Raw genomic sequence first — 19,912 nt, 5'->3', positions numbered from 1 at the left:
CTCCCCACAGTCCTTGACAGCCTGTCATTCCATGTGGTTAGACCCATCTGACCATCCATCTGTCCCACTTGTGTCTTCAGGCCCCCTGGCCCTGGCTTAGCTGTCTGTTCCCTTCGCTGCCACACAAGTTTGTCCTTGGATTTCCCTTCACCACTGCACCCTCACCCTGGAAATTCCCTGGGCTCACTGTTCAAGCCCTTGTTTCTGGGATTTCCTGTCTTCCTTGTTCCTGGTTATTCTTGGATACTCCCTCATTCTGATGGGCCACATCTCCCAGTAGCTTCCTGAGAAAACATGCAGAGTAATTGAGAGATGAGTGCTGGAGTCAGAGAGACAGAGATCAAAACATCAGCTCCCTGACTGCTGCGGCTGTTTGGAGAAGGTGGCTTCTTGTCTCCTGGCCAAGGGCGCATGCTCCCACCGCACCCTAGAATTAAGTTCACCCACTCAGCCTGGCTGGAAAATGGCAGGCTCTCCAGATGGGCGAGAGCGGATGGGAGCACCTGAGCACTTGCTCTCTGAGGGCCAGCAGAACCCGAAGGACAGATAGGGAAGGGCAAAGGAGTGGGACCGGTTTCTTCCCCCCAGACTCTCCAATCAGATAAGTCATAGTGGCGGGGGTGGGGGGTGGTTATGGGGGGTAGGCCTGGGCGTCAGCATTTTTAAAGCCCCTCAGGTGATTCAGTGCAGCCCGGGCAAGAACCCAGCTATGCTCTGAGAAGTGAGTGGGCAGCATCTAATTGCTCTTCATAAAAATCCTGCTGTTTTCAGCCCCAGCCCACCCTGGTCTTCCCACAGACAATGGCCACTCCCATGCCTGAGCCATCCCAGGTGAGCTGCTTGCTTTCTGGGCCACTTCGCTTCCCTCGGCGCCGTCTTCATCCTCCTTAGCTGTTATACGAACCTCTCCCAGCTGTATCTAGGATTGACTTTGTGTTTTCTTTCTTGTTCTTCATGCATTGAGGGGGATTTCCAAGATGTAATAGGAGAAACAAGGTATTATCTGCCAATCTCAAAACTAAACCCAAGCAAAGCCAAATTAAATGGCATTTTTTTTTCTTTTCTCTTGTTTTTTTTTTTTTTTTGAGAAGGTGTCTGGCTCTGTCGCCCAGGCTGGAGTGCAGTGGTGCAATCTTGGCTCACTGCAACCTCCGCCTTCCAGGTTCAAGCTGTTCTCCTGCCTCAACCTCCCAAGCAGCTGGGACTACAGGCGCCCGCCACCACTCCTAGTTAATATTTTGTATTTTTAATAGAGACAGGGTTTCACCATGTTAGCCAGGATGGTCTCAATCTCCTGACCTCGTGATCCGCCCACCTCGGCCTCCCAAAGTGCTGGGATTACAGGCATGAGCCCTCGTGCCTGGCCATAAGTGGCTTCTTTTACCCAGAGTTTAAAAACCAAACAAGACTTTTTAGGCCGGGCACAGTGGCTCACGCCTGTAATCCCAGCACTTTGGGAGGCCGGGCTGATTGCTTGAGCTCAGGAGTTCGAGAGCAGCCTGGGTAACAGGGCAAAACCCCATCTCTACAAAAAATACAAAAATTAGCCAGGTGTGGTGGTGCATTCCCACAGTCCTAGCTACTTGGGAGGCTGAGGTGGGAGGATCCCAGGAGGTTGAGGCTGCAGTGAGCCAAGATAGCACCGCTGCACTTTAACCTGGGCAACAGAGCAAGACCCTGTCTCAAAAAAAAGAAAAAAAAAACCTTTTTAGAAATGACCCAGAGAGATAACGAATGATCTGTTTCTATGAAAATATTTGTTGTTTTGAAAAAGGGTCACAGATAAAGGGTCACAGGAGTCCCGAGCAAGGTGCAAGGCCATGGAGGAGACGGCCTTCAGCCCACATGGCGGGGGGGACGCAGATCTGCAGGCAGTGGCCCGGGTGGACACCTCTCCTTCTGGAACCTCTGTGAATGATACAATATAATCCAGTTCATTGCCATAACTTCCCCAAATACCCCTTCACACAGCACCACACAGGGACGCACTCTCATCTTCACCATGTGGCTGGGAGTCCTGATTCTGACACGCACTGGCAGCTATGATCCTGGCCAAGGCATCTGCCTCTCCAAGCCTCGGTTGTACCACCTCTAAAACAGACATGCTATTATCTAGGCTGCGTACCTCCCAGAGTTAATAGGAGGCACCAATGTGATCACTCCTGGGTGGGTGTTTGTGAACTGGAAGGTGCTAATCAGAGGTGTCACCATTATAATCATCTGCTCAATCCGTATTCCCTCAAGCCAAACAGACAAACTCAGCTATTTGTTGGCCTCCCCTTAGAGCATTCCCTTCTACAGTCCCCACACCCTCCCAAAAGTTAATTCGCATACAGTTACCAGGGTAAGGAGAAAAACATAGAACCAAACATGAAATAACCTATATGTTTAAACTTGTGGTACAGCTAAATTCTTATAGCCTGGCAAGGAAGAGCTCAGGGAAGCATGTACTAGATTTAAATGAGAAAGGAACTGGGGGAAAACCACACTGTATTCTTCTGCTCGGGCTGACCACAGTCTGGGTGGCCTCCACCACAGAAATTTATTTTCTCACAGTCCTGGGAACTGGAGATCAAGAGCAAGGTGCCATCAGGATGAGGGCTCTCTTCCTGGTGTGCAGATGGCCGCCTTCTCGCTGTGCCCTCATATGACCTTTACTTAGGGCACAAGCACCCCTAGTGTCTCTTTCTTTTTCTTGTTTTCTTCTTTTTTTTCGAGACAGAGTCTCTCTCTGTCACCCAGGCTGGAGTGCAGCGGTGCCATCTCGGCTCACTGCAACGTCCACCTCCTGGGTTCAAGCGATCCTACCACCTCAGGTTCCTGAGTAGCTGGGTCTACAGGCGCAAGCCACCATGCCCAGCTAATTATTTTTTTTTTTTGTAGAGATGGGGTTTTGCCATGTTGCGCAGGCTAGTCTTGAACCCCTAGGCTCAAGTGATCCTTCTGCCTCGACCTCCCAAACTGCTGGGATGACAGGCATGAGCCACCGCACCAGGCTGAACCAGCCTTCTAAAGAGTTTAATTCTCCATCACTGATTTTGTGCTCTGTTTTTGTTGTTGTTGTTGTTTGCTTGTTTGTTTGTTTGTTTTTTGAGACGGAGTCTTGCTCTGTCGCCCAGGCTGGAGTGCAGTGGCACGATCTTGGCTCACTGCAAGCTCTGCCTCCCGGGTTCACGCCATTCTCCTGCCTCAGCCTCCCGAGTAGCTGGGACTACAGGCGCCTGCCACCATGCCTGGCTAATTTTTTTGTATTTTTAGTAGAGATGGGGCTTCACCTTGTTAACCAGGATGGTGCTGACCTCCGGACCTCATGATCCGCCCGCCTCAGCCTCCCAAAGTGCTGGGATGACAGGCATAAGCCACCGCGCCCGGCCTTATCCTCTGTTATACAAAGGTTGCAGACGCTGATGCTGAAACCCCTTTCTGACCCATAGCTCTAGAGTAAACGAACGCCTGGACTTTCTTCACCCCCTGAAGAAAAAGAACTTGTTCATGAGCATCTCCCGGCAGCTCATCTCTTCCTTTTTCTAAGGACATCAGTTCTACTGGATTAGGTCCCCACACAAATTAGAACCCCCACTCATTTAGCCTTAATTACATTCTTAAAGGCCTTATCTCCAAATACAATCACGTTGGAGATTAGGGCTCCCACCTATGAATTTGGGGCCGGAGAGGGACACAATTCCATCCATCTCACACACACACACACACACACACACACACACGCTTCCCTTCTCCCACGTGTGGATTCTGTCTCCCTGAGCCGGGTCAGCCGGCGCCTTCTGTGTGCGCCTGCACAGCTGCGTCTCTGGCATTCAGCATCTCCAGGGGCTGAGGGCTTCCACGTGGTGAGCCGGAGCAAAGGGTGCACAGAACAAGGCAAGAGCAGGGCAATGGGAGACAGAAAGCAACTTGAGCGCAGTGAAAACTGGAGGGTGGAAGACGCCATCCTTACTCATGTGGGAGCCAGAAAAGTAGGTCTCATGGAGATGGAGACTGGATTGATGGTTACCAGAAGCTGGGAAAGGGGAGGAGGAGAGATGAAGAGAGGTTGGTACAAACACAGGTACAAAAACACAGTCAGATAGAAGGAATATGTTCTGGTGTTCGACAGCACAGTGGGGTGACTATGGTTAACAGTAATGTGTTGCAGAGTTCAAAATAGTGACAAGAGCGCAATGGGAATGTTCTCAACATAAAAGATAAATGCTGGAGATGAAAGATATCCCAGTTACTCCGATTTGATCATTATACATTGTATGTATGAATCAAAATATCATGTGTACATACAAAATATGTATAATAATAATAATTATTATTATTTGAGGCAGAGTCTTGCTCTGTCGCTCAGGCTGGAGTGCAGTGGCGTGATCTTGGCTCACTGCAACCTCTGCCTCCCAGGTTCAAGCGATTCTCAAGCCTCAGCCTCCGAAGTAGCTGGGATTACAGGCATGCACCACCACGCCCAGATGATTTTTGTATTTTTAGTAGAGAGGGGGTTTCACCATGTTTGCCAGGCTGGTCTCAAACTCCTGACCTCAAGTGATCCACCCACCTCATCCTCCCAAAGTTCTGGGATCACAGGCGTGAGCCACTGTGCTCAGCCTAAAATATGTATAATTATTATATACCAGTTTTAAAAACCACCTTACTCTTTATGCTAGGTACACTTGTAGGTACTGGTGATAGAAAAATGAAGACCTCATTCTTCCCTTGGAAAACAAAAAACAAAGAAGAGACCAAGTCTCTTAGGAAAAAGAGAACCCTGCCAGTAGCACGATACAGGAGGTGAGTGCCCCAGCGGCAGCCTGTGGCAGGAGCTCAGTCTAGACCAGAAGTAGAAATAGACAGGAACTCACAGAATTAAGGCTACAGATTGAGGCCAGGCTGGTCCCACAGGCATAGTAGGGTTTTCTAGACTTGCGGCCATCAATAAGAACTGTCACCTAAAAGCTTCTGCTCTGTGCACTTCAACCCTCTTGGATGCAGTTTGAACCCTTGTACACTTTCAACCGCTATCCTGAAGCATAGCTGCCTGTGAGACAATAATTCTGGAAGCATTTTCCATTGACAACTCACAGGAAGAGGGCTATGGAAAGACTACATTTCTGAATCTGAAACCACTAGAAGATTTAAGTCTCTGCATGTCGGTGGTGAGGTCAGAGAATCCGCCACCACGGAATTCAAAGTTCTTTGAGGTTTGACATAATAGCTACCTATTAAGTTTGCCTTCTGCATGACCTGTGCAACTGCCATTTAGAAAAGGGAAAGCTATCATCCATCATGTGTCTTTATAAAGAACTTCTTTAAACTTTATCTTATGAAGCTGTTTTCATAATTATTTTGGCTTAGCTCAGATTCCATAGCACTGTACAAGATGTACAAATGGAATAAAATTGCCATCATTTAGATCAGGCCAAAAATATCTTCCCAACTAAGAAGAATTAAAGGGTGTTTTTTTTCTCCTTGAAAATAACATAAATCATAATGAACTAAGCCCAAATTTAAGAATTACTTTATTTAATTAATTTATTCATTTATTTATTTTATTGAGACACGGTCTGGCTCTGTTGCCCAGGCTGGAGCACAGTGCCACAATCACAGCTCACTGCAGCCTCAACCTCCTGGGTTCAAGCGATCCTCCCACCTCAGCCTCCCATGTAGCTGGGACTACAGGCATGCACCACTATGCCCAGCTATTTTTTTTTTTAATTTTTTGTACAGACAGGGTTTCACTATATTGCCCAGGCTGGTCTCGAACACCTGGGCTCAAGTGATTCTCCTGCCTCAACCTTCCAGAGTGCTGGGATTACAGGCATCAGCCACTGCATCCAATCTAAGATTTACTTAAAAAAACAAAAAAACAAAAACAAACAAAAATAACCTTCCAGGCTATATCCCGGTTTATTGGGTTATTTGTTCAAATAGGTCTCATCTTATATCCTTATGTCCACACCCCTCTACCGTGATAACTAGTGCTCAAAAAGCTGATTCTAAAACACAGTAAGAGGCCGGGCGTTGTGGCTCATACCTGTAATCCCAGCACTTTGGGAGGGCGAGGCAGGAGGATCACGAGGTCAAGAGTTCGAGACCATCCTGGCCAACATGGTGAAACCCCATCTCTACTAAAAATACAAAAATTAGCCAGGCGTGGTGGCAGGCACCTGCAATCCCAGCTACTCAGGGGGCTGAGTCAGGAGAATCACTTGAACTCGGGAGGCAGAGGTTGCAGTGAGCCAAGATTGCGCCACTGCACTGCAGCCTGGTGACAGAGTGAGATTCCCTCTCAAAAAATAAAAATAAAACACAGTAAGATTCTGAATCATAATTCCCGATGAACTAATTTGCACTGGAATACAGAGAAGTGTGCTGAAATATTTGGTTGACTTTCATATTTTGCTGACACATAAAAACCATGACCTCACATATATTTTTAAAATTTTGCCATGATGAAATGTGTTGTTAAGATGGGAATAGAGAACATATTTTTTGTTTGTCTGTTCACTTGCTTGATACTTTTTAAAATTCAGACACCCTCTGTAGGCCTCCATTTGTACTCTTGCCCTGGGTCTCCAAAGGTTAGGGCCAGGCCTGACCTCTATGACATACCATTCTTCCTGCTTCACCACCCTTAGCATGTGACTTTTGCTTTGTTTTGAGACAAGGTCTTGCTCTGTCACCCAGGCTGCAGTGCAGTGGTGAGATTACCACTCACTGCAGCCTCAATCCCCTGGGCTCAGGTGATCCTCCCGCCTCAACCTCACCAGTAGCTAGGACTACAGGCACGCCCAGCTAATTTTATTTTTTTGTAGAGATGGGATCTTGCTATGTTGCCCAGGCTGATATTGAACTCCTGGCCTCAAGCAGTCCTCCTGCCTTGGCCTCTCAAAGTGCTGGCATTACAGGAATGAGCCACCAAGCCCGGCCGTATGTGACTTTTGGCTTCATGTTTTTTTCACCTCATGGGCTTAAGATGGCTGCTCCAGCTCCAGCTTCATATCCATATTCCAAGCAGGGAGATAAAGACCAGGAGAAGGAGGGCAAGGTGGTACTATACCGCAAAAGCAAAGAACTTCCAGGAATGCCTGGCTGATCTCTTGCACAACTCAGAACCATTTTACTTGGCCATCCCTAGCTGCAAAGGCCTTGGGAAAGGTGGACATTTTGTTTTATTTTATTTATTTATTTATTGAGACAGAATTTAGCTCTCATCGCCCAGGCTGGAGTGCAATGGCGCGATCTCAGCTCACCGCAACCTCCGCCTCCCAGGTTCAAGCCATTCTCCTGCCTCAGCCTCCCGAGTAGCTGGGATTACAGGTGCCTGCCACCATGTCCAGCTAATTTTTTGTATTTTTGGTAGAGACAGGGTTTCACCATATTGGCCAGGCTGGTCTTGAACTCCTGACCTCAGGTGATCCACCCATCTTGGCGTCCCAAAGTGCTGGGATTATAGGTGTGAGCCACCACGCCCAGCTTTTTATTTATTTATTTATTTACTTATGTACTTATTTATTTATTTTTCAAGATGGAGTCTCACTCTGTCTTCCAGGCTGGAGTGCAGTGGCTCGATCTCAGCTCACTGCAACCTCTGCATCCCGGGTTCAAGTGATTCTACTACCTCAGCCTCCCGAGTAGCTGGGGCTACAGGTGTGTGCCACCACACCTGGCCTACAGGTAGAAATTTTAGCTGGCCGTGGTGCCACCCTGAGCAAAATTGGGCTTCTGACAATTAGGCAAAACGAGGGAATGGTTACCAAGTAGGCAAGTAGCAGTGTCTCCCACATGGAAGGGCCAGGAGCAGCAATCCTGGGGGATGTCTGGCCTCAAGACTAACTTGTCGCAAGAGAGGTAGAGTCGGGGAGAGCCCACTAATCATGACTGGGTGGCCGTGTCCCCATGCCAGACACCTTAGGGAGGTCAAGGTTCTGGTAGACCCATACGCGGAACCTGGGGTAGGGCTGAGACCACAGAAAAAGAGACGGTCAGGGAGTCGGCTTAGAGCGGCTGCAGAAGAAGCACATGGCCCAAGGCACAAGACTCCTAGATTTGTTCTAGAAGGCAATTTGGCAACTCATATCAACAGCTCTGAGTAAAGGGGAGCTTGGACTTCTAAAGAGATCACCTGGTAGTTCCTGCTCCCTGGATTCCCTGGGGCTGTTCTGAGGCCTGGCGGCTCCAGTTTCCCCGTTCTTGAGTCCCCCTCGTCCACCACATAGAGCCTTTTGTGCCTTCAGTGGCCATTGTTGGCTTTAGTGGTAGCTCCAGGTTTTCCAAGGGCTAGAGGGGCCGCATTCTGGCACAGAGTGAGGCAAAGAAACATAGCAACGTTGCACGCAGCATTCGCGCAGCAAGAGGCTGTCCTTTTCGGATTGGAGTTCATTTTCGTTGGTTCTTTTGGGGGGTGTAGTGCGTGTCAGGGGCTGAAACCCCCACACCATCCCCCACTGTTGGAATTGGTCAATTTCTACTGCAACAACAACAACAAAAACCCAATTTACATAAAAACACGTATTTCAATTTTATCACATTTAAGAAGAGACACATGCTGTTTAATTTACTTTTACTTAATTACGTTAAGAAAAGTCTGATTCCTCAATGAATTTTTAAGTGACATATTTTGTGGCAAATGTAAATTCAAAGTTAAATACATCTTATGGCATCAAAAAAGAAAGATAAAACTGGTTTTATTTTATTTATTTGTTTTATGTTTTTTTGAGATGGAATCTCACTCTGTTGCCAAGGCTGGAGTGCAGTGATGTGATCTCAGCTCACTGCAACCTCTGCCTCCCGGCTTTAAGTGATTCTTGTGCCTCAACCTCCCAAGTAGCTGGGATTACAGGTGCGCCAACATGCCCAGCTAATTTTTGTATTTGCCCGGCTAATTTTTGTATTTTTAGTAGAGACGGGTTTCGCCATGTTGGCTGGGCTGGTCTCAAACTTCTGGCCTCAAGTGATCCACCTGCCTCGGCCTCCCAAAGTGCTGGGATGACAAGCGTGAGCCACCGCGCCCAGCCACAAAAACTGGTTTTATAAATTGTTTGGAAGTTTTTGCATGTCAGTTTTTAAACACTGAATTTTTAAGAACTGAAGTTTTTTATATATGTAAATTCCACATTTTACTTCTAAATGGCAAGTTAAGAGAGAAAGTTTCAGGCTGCAAGCTGCAAGAACGCCTCAGCAAATAACACATCACGGATATGGGTAATCTTTATTCCTAAAGAATGACAAGCAAAATTGTACATCGTTGTCATTATATTTTTAGTTTTTAATACTGGACAAGTTTAATTTTCTTGTTTCTTTCTTTACAACTTTTTTTTTCTTTTATAGGGTCTCACTGCATTGTCCCGGCTGGTCTTGAACTTCTGGGATCAAGGGATCCTTCTGCCTGGGCACCCCCAAATTGCTCAATTACAAGTGTGAGCCACCACGCCTTGCCTGGAGAAGTCTAATTTTGATGAGAAGGAAAGAGCTAAGAAAGCTGAGAAGGGCTAGGCACCGTGGCTCATGCCTGTAATCCCAGCACTTTGGGAGGACAAGGCGGGAGGATCACTTGAGTCTAGGAGTTTGAGACCAGCTGGGCAACATGGCGAGACCCCCACCTCTACAAAAAATACAAAAAATTAGCCAGGCATGGTGACATGTGCCTGCGGTCCCAGCTACTCGGGAGGCCGAGGTGGGAGGATCACCTGAACCCAGAAGGTGGAGATTGCAAGTGAGCAGAAATGCGCCACTGCACTCCAGCCTGGGTGACAGAGCAAGACCCTGTCTCCAAAACAAAACAAACAAAAAGCCTGGGAAAACTCATGTTACAGCCAACTTGTAGAAATTTTATTATTCTCTTCTCATCGATGGCCTTTCTTTTCGTCATCAGTGTTCCTTAAGTTTCCTTTCATCAGAGATTCATTATGGGTGTACATTTATAAATGAAAACGAATTTCAGGTGTCCATGAGCTTCCGTAGGGGTCAGCTATGGACCGGCAACCTGAGGACAGCTGTAAGGACTCCGGGCTGAGCACCTCTCTGAGACTCCCAAGGTGTTTAATTATTTTTAACAAACAGAAATGGAAGCAGACACTTTTCTGCCTCTAATGATATGACCACTCTGGCCCAGCATGACAAACTTCATTTCCTCCCAAATCCCTTTTTGCTGATCTCTCAGATCCCCAGTTGGAGGAACCATCCTTTACAGCTGACTGACTCACCAGTCCCTAATGCTGGTCAGATGTCCTGAACAAGGAAAGCCGTGATTTCTGCGACCAGAGAGAATCGGTCAGTCACGGTGTCCCTCAGCCAAAATGAACTCAGCCTATTGTCTCCGGAGAGCTGGTAAATCGGCAGCTGAAGAAACATACAGTTCTGTGTTTCAAAATGCAAAAGACCACATTTCCCTGACCTCGGGTGCTCGCTGACACATTCCCAACCAATGACTATAAATCTGCTCCTGGATTGTGGTAAGTTGAGAAATTAAACACAAATATCCCATCTGATAACCTTCCTCTGGCCTTTCACAGTGTTGTTTATAGAACTGAATTTTAGAAAATGAATTCCTTTATCCTCAAGGTTTTAGGGCTTTTTTCTTCTAAGCCCAGAAACTGTAAACGTTTTCATGATACAAGAAAGCTGGCGCTTCTCCTTCTACTTAAATTACAGACACTCGTCTGAGTTGCCTGCTGCTGTGGATTTTTGTTGGGTTTCAGTTGCTTTCTAGCCATTCTTCCATCCTTAGAGCATCTGAATTTCCTTTTATGAATTTCCCTCATCCCCTTTGAGGGAATCCGATGAAATCTCAAATCCAAGCACCTGCCTCCCAGCAAGAATGCGGAGCTGCTAGCTTTCTGGAACTACATGATTTCCACCCCTTTTTTTCTTTTTTTTTTTTGAGACGGAGTCTCACTCTGTCACCCAGGCTGGAGTGCAGTGGCCTGATCTCCGCTCCCTGCAAGCTCCGCCTCCCGGGTTCACGCCGTTCTCCTGCCTCAACCTCCCGAGTAGCTGGTACTACAGGTGCCCGCCACCATGCCCAGCTAATTTTTTTTTTACTTTTTTAGTAGAGACGGAGTTTCACCATGTTAGCCAGGATGGTCTCAATCTCCTGACCTCGTGATCTGCCCACCTCGGCCTCCCAAAGTGTTGGGATTACAGGTGTGGGTCACCGCGCCTGGCCAATTTCCGCCCCTTTTCAAACTCAGTGCCTCAACCTCACATCTGTTGGATGAGTCCAAGAGACCCTTCTAGTACATTCCCTTTTGCTTCCATTACACTCTAACTGGTGAGCCTAGTGCATAGGAGAGGCGCCTGTCCCTGTCAGCCTTGATCTGGCTTCCTGAGAGCTCTGTCTTATCTCTAACACATATTCTTCTGTCAAAACACAAGTGGAACGGCAGATTGGGGTTTTGAAATCACACTTGGTGGAGCTCTGGCCTGTAGATGTGTTCTCACCAATCCATGAGGTCTTTTCAAAAATATCATCATTGTTTTATTATTTATTTATTTATTTTTGAGACAGGGTCTCACTCTGTCACCCAGTCTAGAGTGTAGTGGGGGTGATCCTAGGTCACTGCAGCCTCGACCTCCTGGACCTCAAGTGATCCTCCCACTTCAGCCTCCTGAGTAGCTGGGACTACAGGTGCACACCACCATACCTGGCTAATTTTTGTATTTTTTGTAGAGACAGGGTTTCACATGTTGCCCAGGCTGGTCTCGAACTCCTGGGCTCAAGCAGTGCTCTCGCCTCAGCCTCCCAAAGTGCTGGGATTACAGGCGTGAGCCACCTGGCCTTCAGTGAAAATCTTAAAGGATTAATGTAAAAATCACATGGTGGGATCATGATCCTCCCATCAAGCTCTGTATCAAACATTCATCCTAAAGCTCATCAGTTCAGAGCTGGAGAGTAAACAACTTCAGAGAAAGAGGCTTTCCAAAACAGTGGGAATTTCGGCAGAGATGGAGCTTGGGGAAACTGAGGCACTCAGTCTGACTTCTCTTCCCTGATGAGGATGTGGGCTTGCTGAAGCTGAGTTTGGTTCAAGAAAGAGGAGAGTTCAATGTTGATAAAAATTATCTTGAACAAAAGTCACAGATTGCTAGAGCAAGTTCTTCTTGAACTGTGACAATAAGACCAGGCTAAACAAGCTAAAGGACATAGCAAAACGCATGGACAATGTTAATCGGCCGCATTAGGGAATCCATGGAGAGGCCACCGTGGGTCTCTAGAAGCTACACTGAAATGTGTTTCATCTGCTTCCACCCTGGTGAGAGGGGTCCCACTTCCATAAGTTTCCATGTCCTTTGTTAAACAGAGAACCTAGAGTTGTCGTACAGGGTGGGGAGAGATGTGGTTCCTTCCCACTGGACATTCATCCAACTGAAACACTACAGTTGGTATCTAAAGTGAGACAGGCACTACCAGGCGTGGAAGATTCATCAAGCCGAAAGAAGAAACACTGAGCTAGCTATTTCCAAGGTGGATACAGAGCCAATTGTAACAATGGAATTTATGCAGTTTCCCTACCTGGGACAATTCACACACAGTGGTTAAGGAAGCTCAGTAAAGTCCAGGTAGCCCACTGACTGTTCCCTGGCTTCTCCCAGCCACCTATGACCTGGACAAGACTTGGAACCCAAAGGGAGTTAAAAAACTAAGAACCTCAGGCTGGGCGCAGTGGTCCCAGCACTTTGGGAAGCCAAGGAGGGCTGATCACTTGAGCTGAAGAGCTGGAGAGCAGCCTGGCCAACATGGTGAAACCCCGTCTCTAAAAAAAACTACAAAAATGAACTGGGCATGTTGGCGCAATCCTGTAATCTCAGCTACTCAGGTAGCTTAGGCGGGAGGACCACCTGACCCCAGGAGGCAGAGGTTGTAGTGAGCTAAGACCATGCCACTGCACTTCAGCCTGGGCAATAGAGCGAGACCCTGTCTCAAAACAAACAAAACAAAAAGCTAACAAAACAAAACAGCAAAAACAAAACCTTGAACCTTATCAAGCCTCGAGAGCCAACCACCATTATACCAGGAGCATAGAACTGGCCAGATTCGGATATGGGGAATTTCTGCAGGGCAAACGGCCCAGGTACATCAAGAAACAATGTCATGGGAAAAGATGGAGCAGGAAGTGTGGCAGATTAAAAGAGACGGAACAGTCAGCGGCAACCTTGGTGTTTTGTTTGTTTCCGAATCTGTACAAACCAACAGTAAAAATCCATGATTGAGAAAGCAGGGAAATGGGAAAGCAGACAGGGCCTGAAAGGGTGGTGGTGGCTTGGACCACGTCATTGTGGTGAAGCTGGAGCTAGATTCCTCCACATCCCTTTCTCTGTGGAGTTCTGGGTGAAGAGGTGGCCCAAAGAGGCACTGTCGTGGGATTCGGGAGGCTGCGTGAAGCATCAGCCGTGACTCTCCAAAGTTCTTAGACTTGATGCATGACAGACACACACACAGGTATCAACGAAGTCCAGCTTGTCCCCACTCTCCTGTCCCCATCCACTTCTCCCCGACCACCAACTCTGCTGACCAGCAACGGCCCTGAGCCAGCCTCCAGATGCTTGCCTGGGGTCCACTCTGGCTGGAGCAGTTCTTATTAAAGGGTTTTTGTTCATTGCATTAGCTTCATCGCAGTATTGCATTACACTGGGGGCAAGACATTCTCTGTGGTAGGTACACACTGAAGCATTTATGGGTGAAATTATGTTATTTCTAGGGTTTGCTTAAAATACTTCAAAACGAAAGAGGCTGGAGCGTGGAGACTAAACAAAACAACATTGAAAAATGGTAACGATTGTTAGAGTTGGAAGATGGGCTCATTGTTCTATTTGCTCTGTTTCTGGTATGTTCGAAAATGTTCATGATTTCAAATTACGGAGTCGGGGGAGCTAAGGAAATGGAACAGAACCTGAAGATCCCCCACCCCCTCCTCCACTCCAGACTAGCACTAGGCAAAGTTGCAGGCAAAATTGCATAACTGGAAAATTCTTCAATTCTTCTTGAGGATGTGGGTTAAGGGAGGGAGGAAAAACTTAGAGCGGCAAGAGGCTGATGAATAGACACACACCACAGAAGAAAAAAGAAAACCAATTAAATCTTACTATTACTTTTAACTGTGAGTAATACGCTTGGACATGTGTGAGCTGGTCTTGTTGTTCTTACAAACAAGGCTAAAAAAAACCTATGACCTTGGAATTCTCAGATTCGTGCAGGCTGTTGAGTTATTTTAAGTGGTGTTCAGAGGACAGGGTTTCTGACCTAAGAATGTACTTTTCCAAAGGTACCTTCTAACTTGGAATTTTAAATATTAATTGAGATATAAAACTTCTTTTTAGGAAAAATGTAAAAATCTCCATGAGCTCAGCCATTGTTTTGGTTAGGAGAGAAGATGACCGTGTAGGATGGGGGCCAACCCAAACAGAAGGGTGGAGAATGGCAACAGGCCCACAGTTCTGTTCACAAATGTTCTTCTCCAGGGCTGAGCTTCTTGGAAAGGGGTTTATTTTATTTCACTCTATCCCTGCTCCACAGTTGGGTCATTTTAGGATCTCAGCTGGTGGCCACAGCTTTTAAGGCTTCTGAGTCATACTCCTTTTTTTTTTTAAGAGGTTATTTAAAAGTTTTTCAAAGTAGGGAGATATTATATGGAAAATATTAAGCAGAAGAAAATATTTTGTATTGGAAAAAATAAATGATCGGTGTTCATAAAAGTGTGTAGTCAGTAAATCAGAAAAACTGTGAACCCGTTAGAGAAACAAACTTTGAGGGAAAATACTGCATATGGTTTTAAAAGATGCAAAAGCTGATCCTGGCACCCAGTCTCAGGAGGAGAACAGAGGGAGGAAGTCAGAAATGCAGATGATCTGTGGGGAGGTGCGGGTGCCCAGGGCAAGAGAGAGGGAGGAGGATGGAGACTCCAGGGCGTGGAAGAGGAGATATGCAAAATGCCGAACCCTAGAGGGGTGCCAGCTCAGTCACCCTCAAGGCAGACTGGCCCAGGTTCCCACACCTCCTTGTCCCACAGTCAAGTCCAATAAAATGGCAGGGGTGGCGGGGGGAGGGGGGAGTAGAGACACAGAGCCCTCTGTGATGTTCACTTGCTGATGGTTTTCCCTGAGAAGGGACTCAGAATACGCCATCCCCAGGCCGGGTGCAGTGGCTCTCAGCACTTTGAGAAGCTGAGGTGGGCAGATCACTTGAGTCCAGGAGTTCGAGACCAGCCTGGGCAACACAGTGAGATCCCATCTCTATATAATAAATATTAAAAATAAAAAAAATTTTTAATTTAAAAAATTAAAATGAATTTAAAAGAAAATTTTAAAAGATAGGATGCTCATTGCAACCTCCACCTTTTAAGCTCAAGCTATCCTCCCACCTTAGCCTTCCAAGGAGCTGGGACTGCAGGCGCGTGCCACCACACTTTGGCGTTAAGGATTATTCTGAGCTGGAGGCACTTGAGAATCGACAAGCAAGTACAGTTCTCTGCCCTCCCCTTCACTGCCTGAAAGCCAGGCATCAATTTCCCCCGTAAAGGTGTCCCTGCACCCCCATCAGAGGACGAGAAGAGCACTCATCCCCAGAGGCGGTTGGCTCCAAGATGAGTCTACATGAAGAGACCCTTACTGAAATAACGCCTGACTCCCCATTCGTCCCCATACGCTTCTTAGTCACTTTCCTACGATCCGTTGTCTCTCCAAGCTCAAACCTGCCTTTCTTTGTTAAAATGGTATAAATTCCTGAGCCTAACCACTTCTTTGAGTTTCACTTTTTTTTTTTAAACTCTTATGCATGTAAATGTTTATAAAAATTGTGTGCTTTGTCTCCTGTTAACCTGTTTTTTTTTTTTTTTTTTTTTGCTCTTTTATTTTATTTCATTTTTTTGAGACAGGGTCTCGCTCTGTCATCCAGACAGAGTGCAGTGGTTCTATCTTGGCTCATTGCAACCTCCGCCTCTTAAGCTCAAGCTATCCTCCCACCTCAGTCTTCCGAGTAGCTGGCACTGCAGGCGTGTGCCACCATACCTGGCTAATTTTTGTATATTTTGTAGAGATGGGGTCTTACCATGTTGCCCAGGCTGGTCTCGAACTCCTAGGCTCAAATGATCCTCCTACCTCTGCCTCCCAAAATGCTAGGATTACAGGTGTGAGCCACTGTGCCAGGCCTGTCTTTTGGTAGTTTAATTCGCAGACCCCTAATCATATAACATAGGAGGGTAGAGGCAACGTTTTTCCTCCCTGACACCTGCATTCAAGGGTTAATTAAATGCACAAAATGGGGACCTCTAGACTAATTGCCAGACCCCATAAAAATAATTCACCTGAGGCCTTTCAGATCCTTGAGGCCACCCATGACCTATAGATAAATTACTAACCCAGGCCCTCCCCATGCCCAACAGAAAGCCCAGTGTCAGGTAGACCTGTTTATATTTTGACACATTTTAGCAACTGCAATACAGGCTTTAGCATTCTTGTATACCTTAGTGTTTTTTATAGACAGCTTTATTGAGACATCGAATAAAACAAACATAAACACTTAACGGTGAGTAGATACTTTTGACATATGAATTCACCCCTAAAACTATTTGCCACCATCAAGTCGGTGAACATACCCATCACCCTCGTAGTTTCCTCGTGGCCCTTTGATACCATAGTATTTTCATGTGTCAAAACAGCAGTGTGGGCCGGGCAGGTGGCTCACGCCTGTAATCCCAACACTTTGGGAGGCCAAGGTGGGCAGATTACCTGAGGTTAGGAATTCAAGACCAGCCTGGCCAACACGGTGAAACCCCATCTCTACTAAAAATACAAAAATTAGCTGGGTGTGGTGGCTCACGCCTGTAATCCCAGCTACTCAGGAGGCTGAGGCATGAGAATCGCTTGAATCCGGGAGGCAGAGTTTGCAGTGAGCTGAGATTGCACCACTGCACTCCAGCCTGGGTGATAGAGTGAGACTCTGTCTCAAAAAACAACCACCACAATGAAAAAACAGCAGTGTGTTTGTGAGTATAGCACCATTCTTTTAGACTACAGTGGGCAATTGGCTTAGATTTCTGGCTCTCTTCTCAATCCCTTTCCCCACTCCTGTCCCAAGCCCCCCAGCCGTCATCATCACTTTCCTCCTGCTATTCCCTACCAAATCCTCTTGCCCCCACCCCAAAACCAAAGCCCCTCACTCAAAGGGGGACAGTGGAACCACTCTGTGTGTTTCGAGGGTCACAAAGCTGCTAGTCAGGGCCCCGGGGGTGCCCTGGAGATAAAGGAAGCAGCTAAGCCAAGATAAGCTAAGCTCCAAGAAATGCTCTGGGATGTGTTATAGATGTTTAGTTTTGATCTTTCTATTCTCCATTTCATGAATTTGAAAAGTTTTCAATAAAATGTCCCTTTTTTTTTTTTTTTTTTTTTTGAGACAGGATCTTGCTCTGTCACCCAGGCTGGAGTGCAGTGGTGTGATCTTGGCTCACTGCAACCTCTGCCTCCTGGGTTCAAGCAATTCTCCTGTCTCAGCCTCCCGAGTAGCTGGGATTACAGGTGCGTGCCACCATGTCTGGCTAATTTTTGTATTTTTAGTAGAGACGGGGTTTCACCATGTTGGCCAGGCTGGTCTTGAACTCCTGACCTCAAGTGATCTGCCCACCTCAGCCTCCCAAAGTGCTGGGATTACAGGCGTGAGCCACCGCACCTGGCCAAAATAGCCCCCCCTTTTTTTTGAGAGAGAGAGAGGGGGTCTTGGTTTGTCACCCAGGTGGTTGGAGTGCAGAGACGCAATCTCAGTTCACTGAAGCCTCGACCTCCCAGCTTCAAGCAATTCCCCTGCCTCGGTCTCCTGAGTAGCTGGGATTACAGGAGCACACCACCACACCTGGCTAATTTTCTGTATTTTTTGTAGAGACGGGGTTTTGGCATGTGACCCAGGCTGGTCTTGAACTCCTGAGCTCAAGTAATCTGCCAGCCTCAACCTCCCAAAGTGCTGGTATTACAGGCATCAATCACCACGCCCAGCCTATACTGATGTTTTTTAAAGTGGAACTTTGATACTGAAATAAATGCTAAAATACTAATGTTGGCCATGAGTTGGGGCTGACGCCTGTAATCCTACTACTTTGGGAGGCCAAGGCGAGAGGATGGCTTGAAGCCAGGAGTTCAAGACCAGCCTGGGCAACATAATAAGACCCAATATTCTGAGTCTCTACAAAAACTTTAAAAATTAGCCAAGGTGGTGGTGTGCCTGTAGTCCTAGCTACTCTGGAGGCTGAGACAGGAAGATCACTTGAGCCCAGGAGTTTGAAGCTGTAGCAAACCATGATCGTGCCACTGCGCTCCAACCTGGGCGACAGAGTGAGAGCCTCTCCCTAAAAATATAAAATAAAATAAAATACCAGTGTTGTCATTTGGCTGAGATACCTGCCGAAAGCACATCTCACTGGGACATGGCCACAGATTTCTAAATGAGGCCACTCTCATCTTCGAGATGTTTGATCTCTGAGGTGCTCATGCAGTTACCCCAGAATAGAAGCCGGGGATGGAGACATTTTAGTCCATGCAAGGCTCTGGATGCTTGTTGGTATGGTTTGGATCTGTGTCCCAACCCAAATCTCATGTCAAATTGTAATCCCTAATGTTGGAGGCAGGGCCCGGTGGGAGGTGATTGAATCATAGGGTTGGTTTCCCCTTTGGCGCTGTTCTCGTGATAGTGAGGGAGTTGTTGTGAGATCTGGTTGTTTAAAAGTGTGTAGCACCTGGCCGGGCGCGGTGGCTCATGCCTGTAATCCCAGCACTTTGGGAGGCCGAGGCGGGTGGATCACCTGAGGTCAAGAGTTCAAGACCAACCTGGCCAACATGGAGAAACCCCACCTTTACTAAAAATACAAAAATTTGCTGAGTGTGGTAGCGCCTGCCTGTAATCCCAGCTACTCAGGAAGCTGAGACAGGAGAATCGCTTGAACCCGGGAGGCGGAGGTTGCAGTGAGCCAAGATCGCGCCACTGCTCTCCAGCCTGGGTGACAGAACGAGACTCCGTCTCAAAAAAAAAAAAAAAAAAAAAGTGGGGGGAGCACCTCCCTGACCCCTCTTCCTGCTGTTCCAGGCATGTAAGAATGTAAGATGTGCCGGCTTCCCCTCCGCCCTCCGCCCTCCGCCATGATGATAAGTTTCCCGAGGCCTCCCCAGCCATGCCTCCTGCACAGCCTGCGGCACCGTGAGCCAATTAAAGCTCTTTTTATTATAAAGTAGCCAGTCTCAGGGATTTCTTTATAGCAGTGTGAGAACGGACTAATACTTTTGTGTTAGAACTTTCTGTGGTTGTCCTGGTCTTACTTCTATTTTTAAAATTTCTAACACATACCATTTCCCAACTGAACATGTGAGTGGTGGATAAATGTAACCCATTTTTTTTTCTTTTTTTTAGACAAAGTCTCCCTCTGTTGCCCAGGCTGGAGTGCAGTGGGGCAGTCTCAGCTCACTGCAACCTCTGCCGCCCGGGTTCAAGAGATTCTCCTGCCTCAGCCTCCCAAGTAGCTCGGATTACAGGCACACACCACCACGCCCAGCTAATTTTTGTATTTATAGTAGAGACGGCGTTTTGCCATGTTGGCCAGGCTGGTCTCGAACTCTTGACCTCAGGTGATCCACCACCTCGGCCTCCCAAAGTGCTGGGATTACAGGCATGAGCCACCACGCCCGGCCAATGTAATGTAAAATTAAAATTTCAACGGAAATAAATTACAGGCTCAATTGTTTTGAGAGTTTTTGGTTTTGTTTATGAATTAATTCTAGTGGAAGCAAATAGTATTGATTCAAGCTTCCTTTTGAAATGCTAACAGAAATCTGGGGGTATATTTCTACTCTTAAAGTCTCTAATAGGCCGGGTGTGCTGGCTCACGCCTGTAATCCCAACACTTTGGTAGGCCGAGGCGGGTGGATCACCTGAGGTCAG

General features: G+C 47.1%; 1 long non-coding RNA gene across 3 annotated transcripts; it reads left to right on the top strand.

Annotated features, from left to right (window-relative positions):
- Positions 1 to 657: 657 nt before the first annotated feature.
- On the top strand, positions 658 to 19,147 carry LOC107984915 (uncharacterized). Of its 3 annotated transcripts, none has more exons than XR_001737893.1 (3): positions 658 to 831; positions 10,160 to 10,451; positions 19,064 to 19,147. It is a non-coding gene; the product is annotated as an uncharacterized LOC107984915 (long non-coding RNA). The 3 variants fall into 3 exon arrangements; XR_001737892.2 differs by lacking the exon at positions 19,064 to 19,147 and adding an exon at positions 4,665 to 4,788 and having other exon boundaries at positions 10,160 to 13,600; XR_007065453.1 differs by lacking the exon at positions 19,064 to 19,147 and having other exon boundaries at positions 10,160 to 13,600.
- The last annotated feature ends 765 nt before the right edge of the window (positions 19,148 to 19,912 follow it).

This window comes from Homo sapiens, chromosome 1 (genome assembly GCF_000001405.40).
Source record: "Homo sapiens chromosome 1, GRCh38.p14 Primary Assembly".
In the NCBI taxonomy this organism is placed as follows: domain Eukaryota; kingdom Metazoa; phylum Chordata; class Mammalia; order Primates; family Hominidae; genus Homo; species Homo sapiens.
This window is presented reverse-complemented; position numbering and strand designations above follow the sequence as displayed.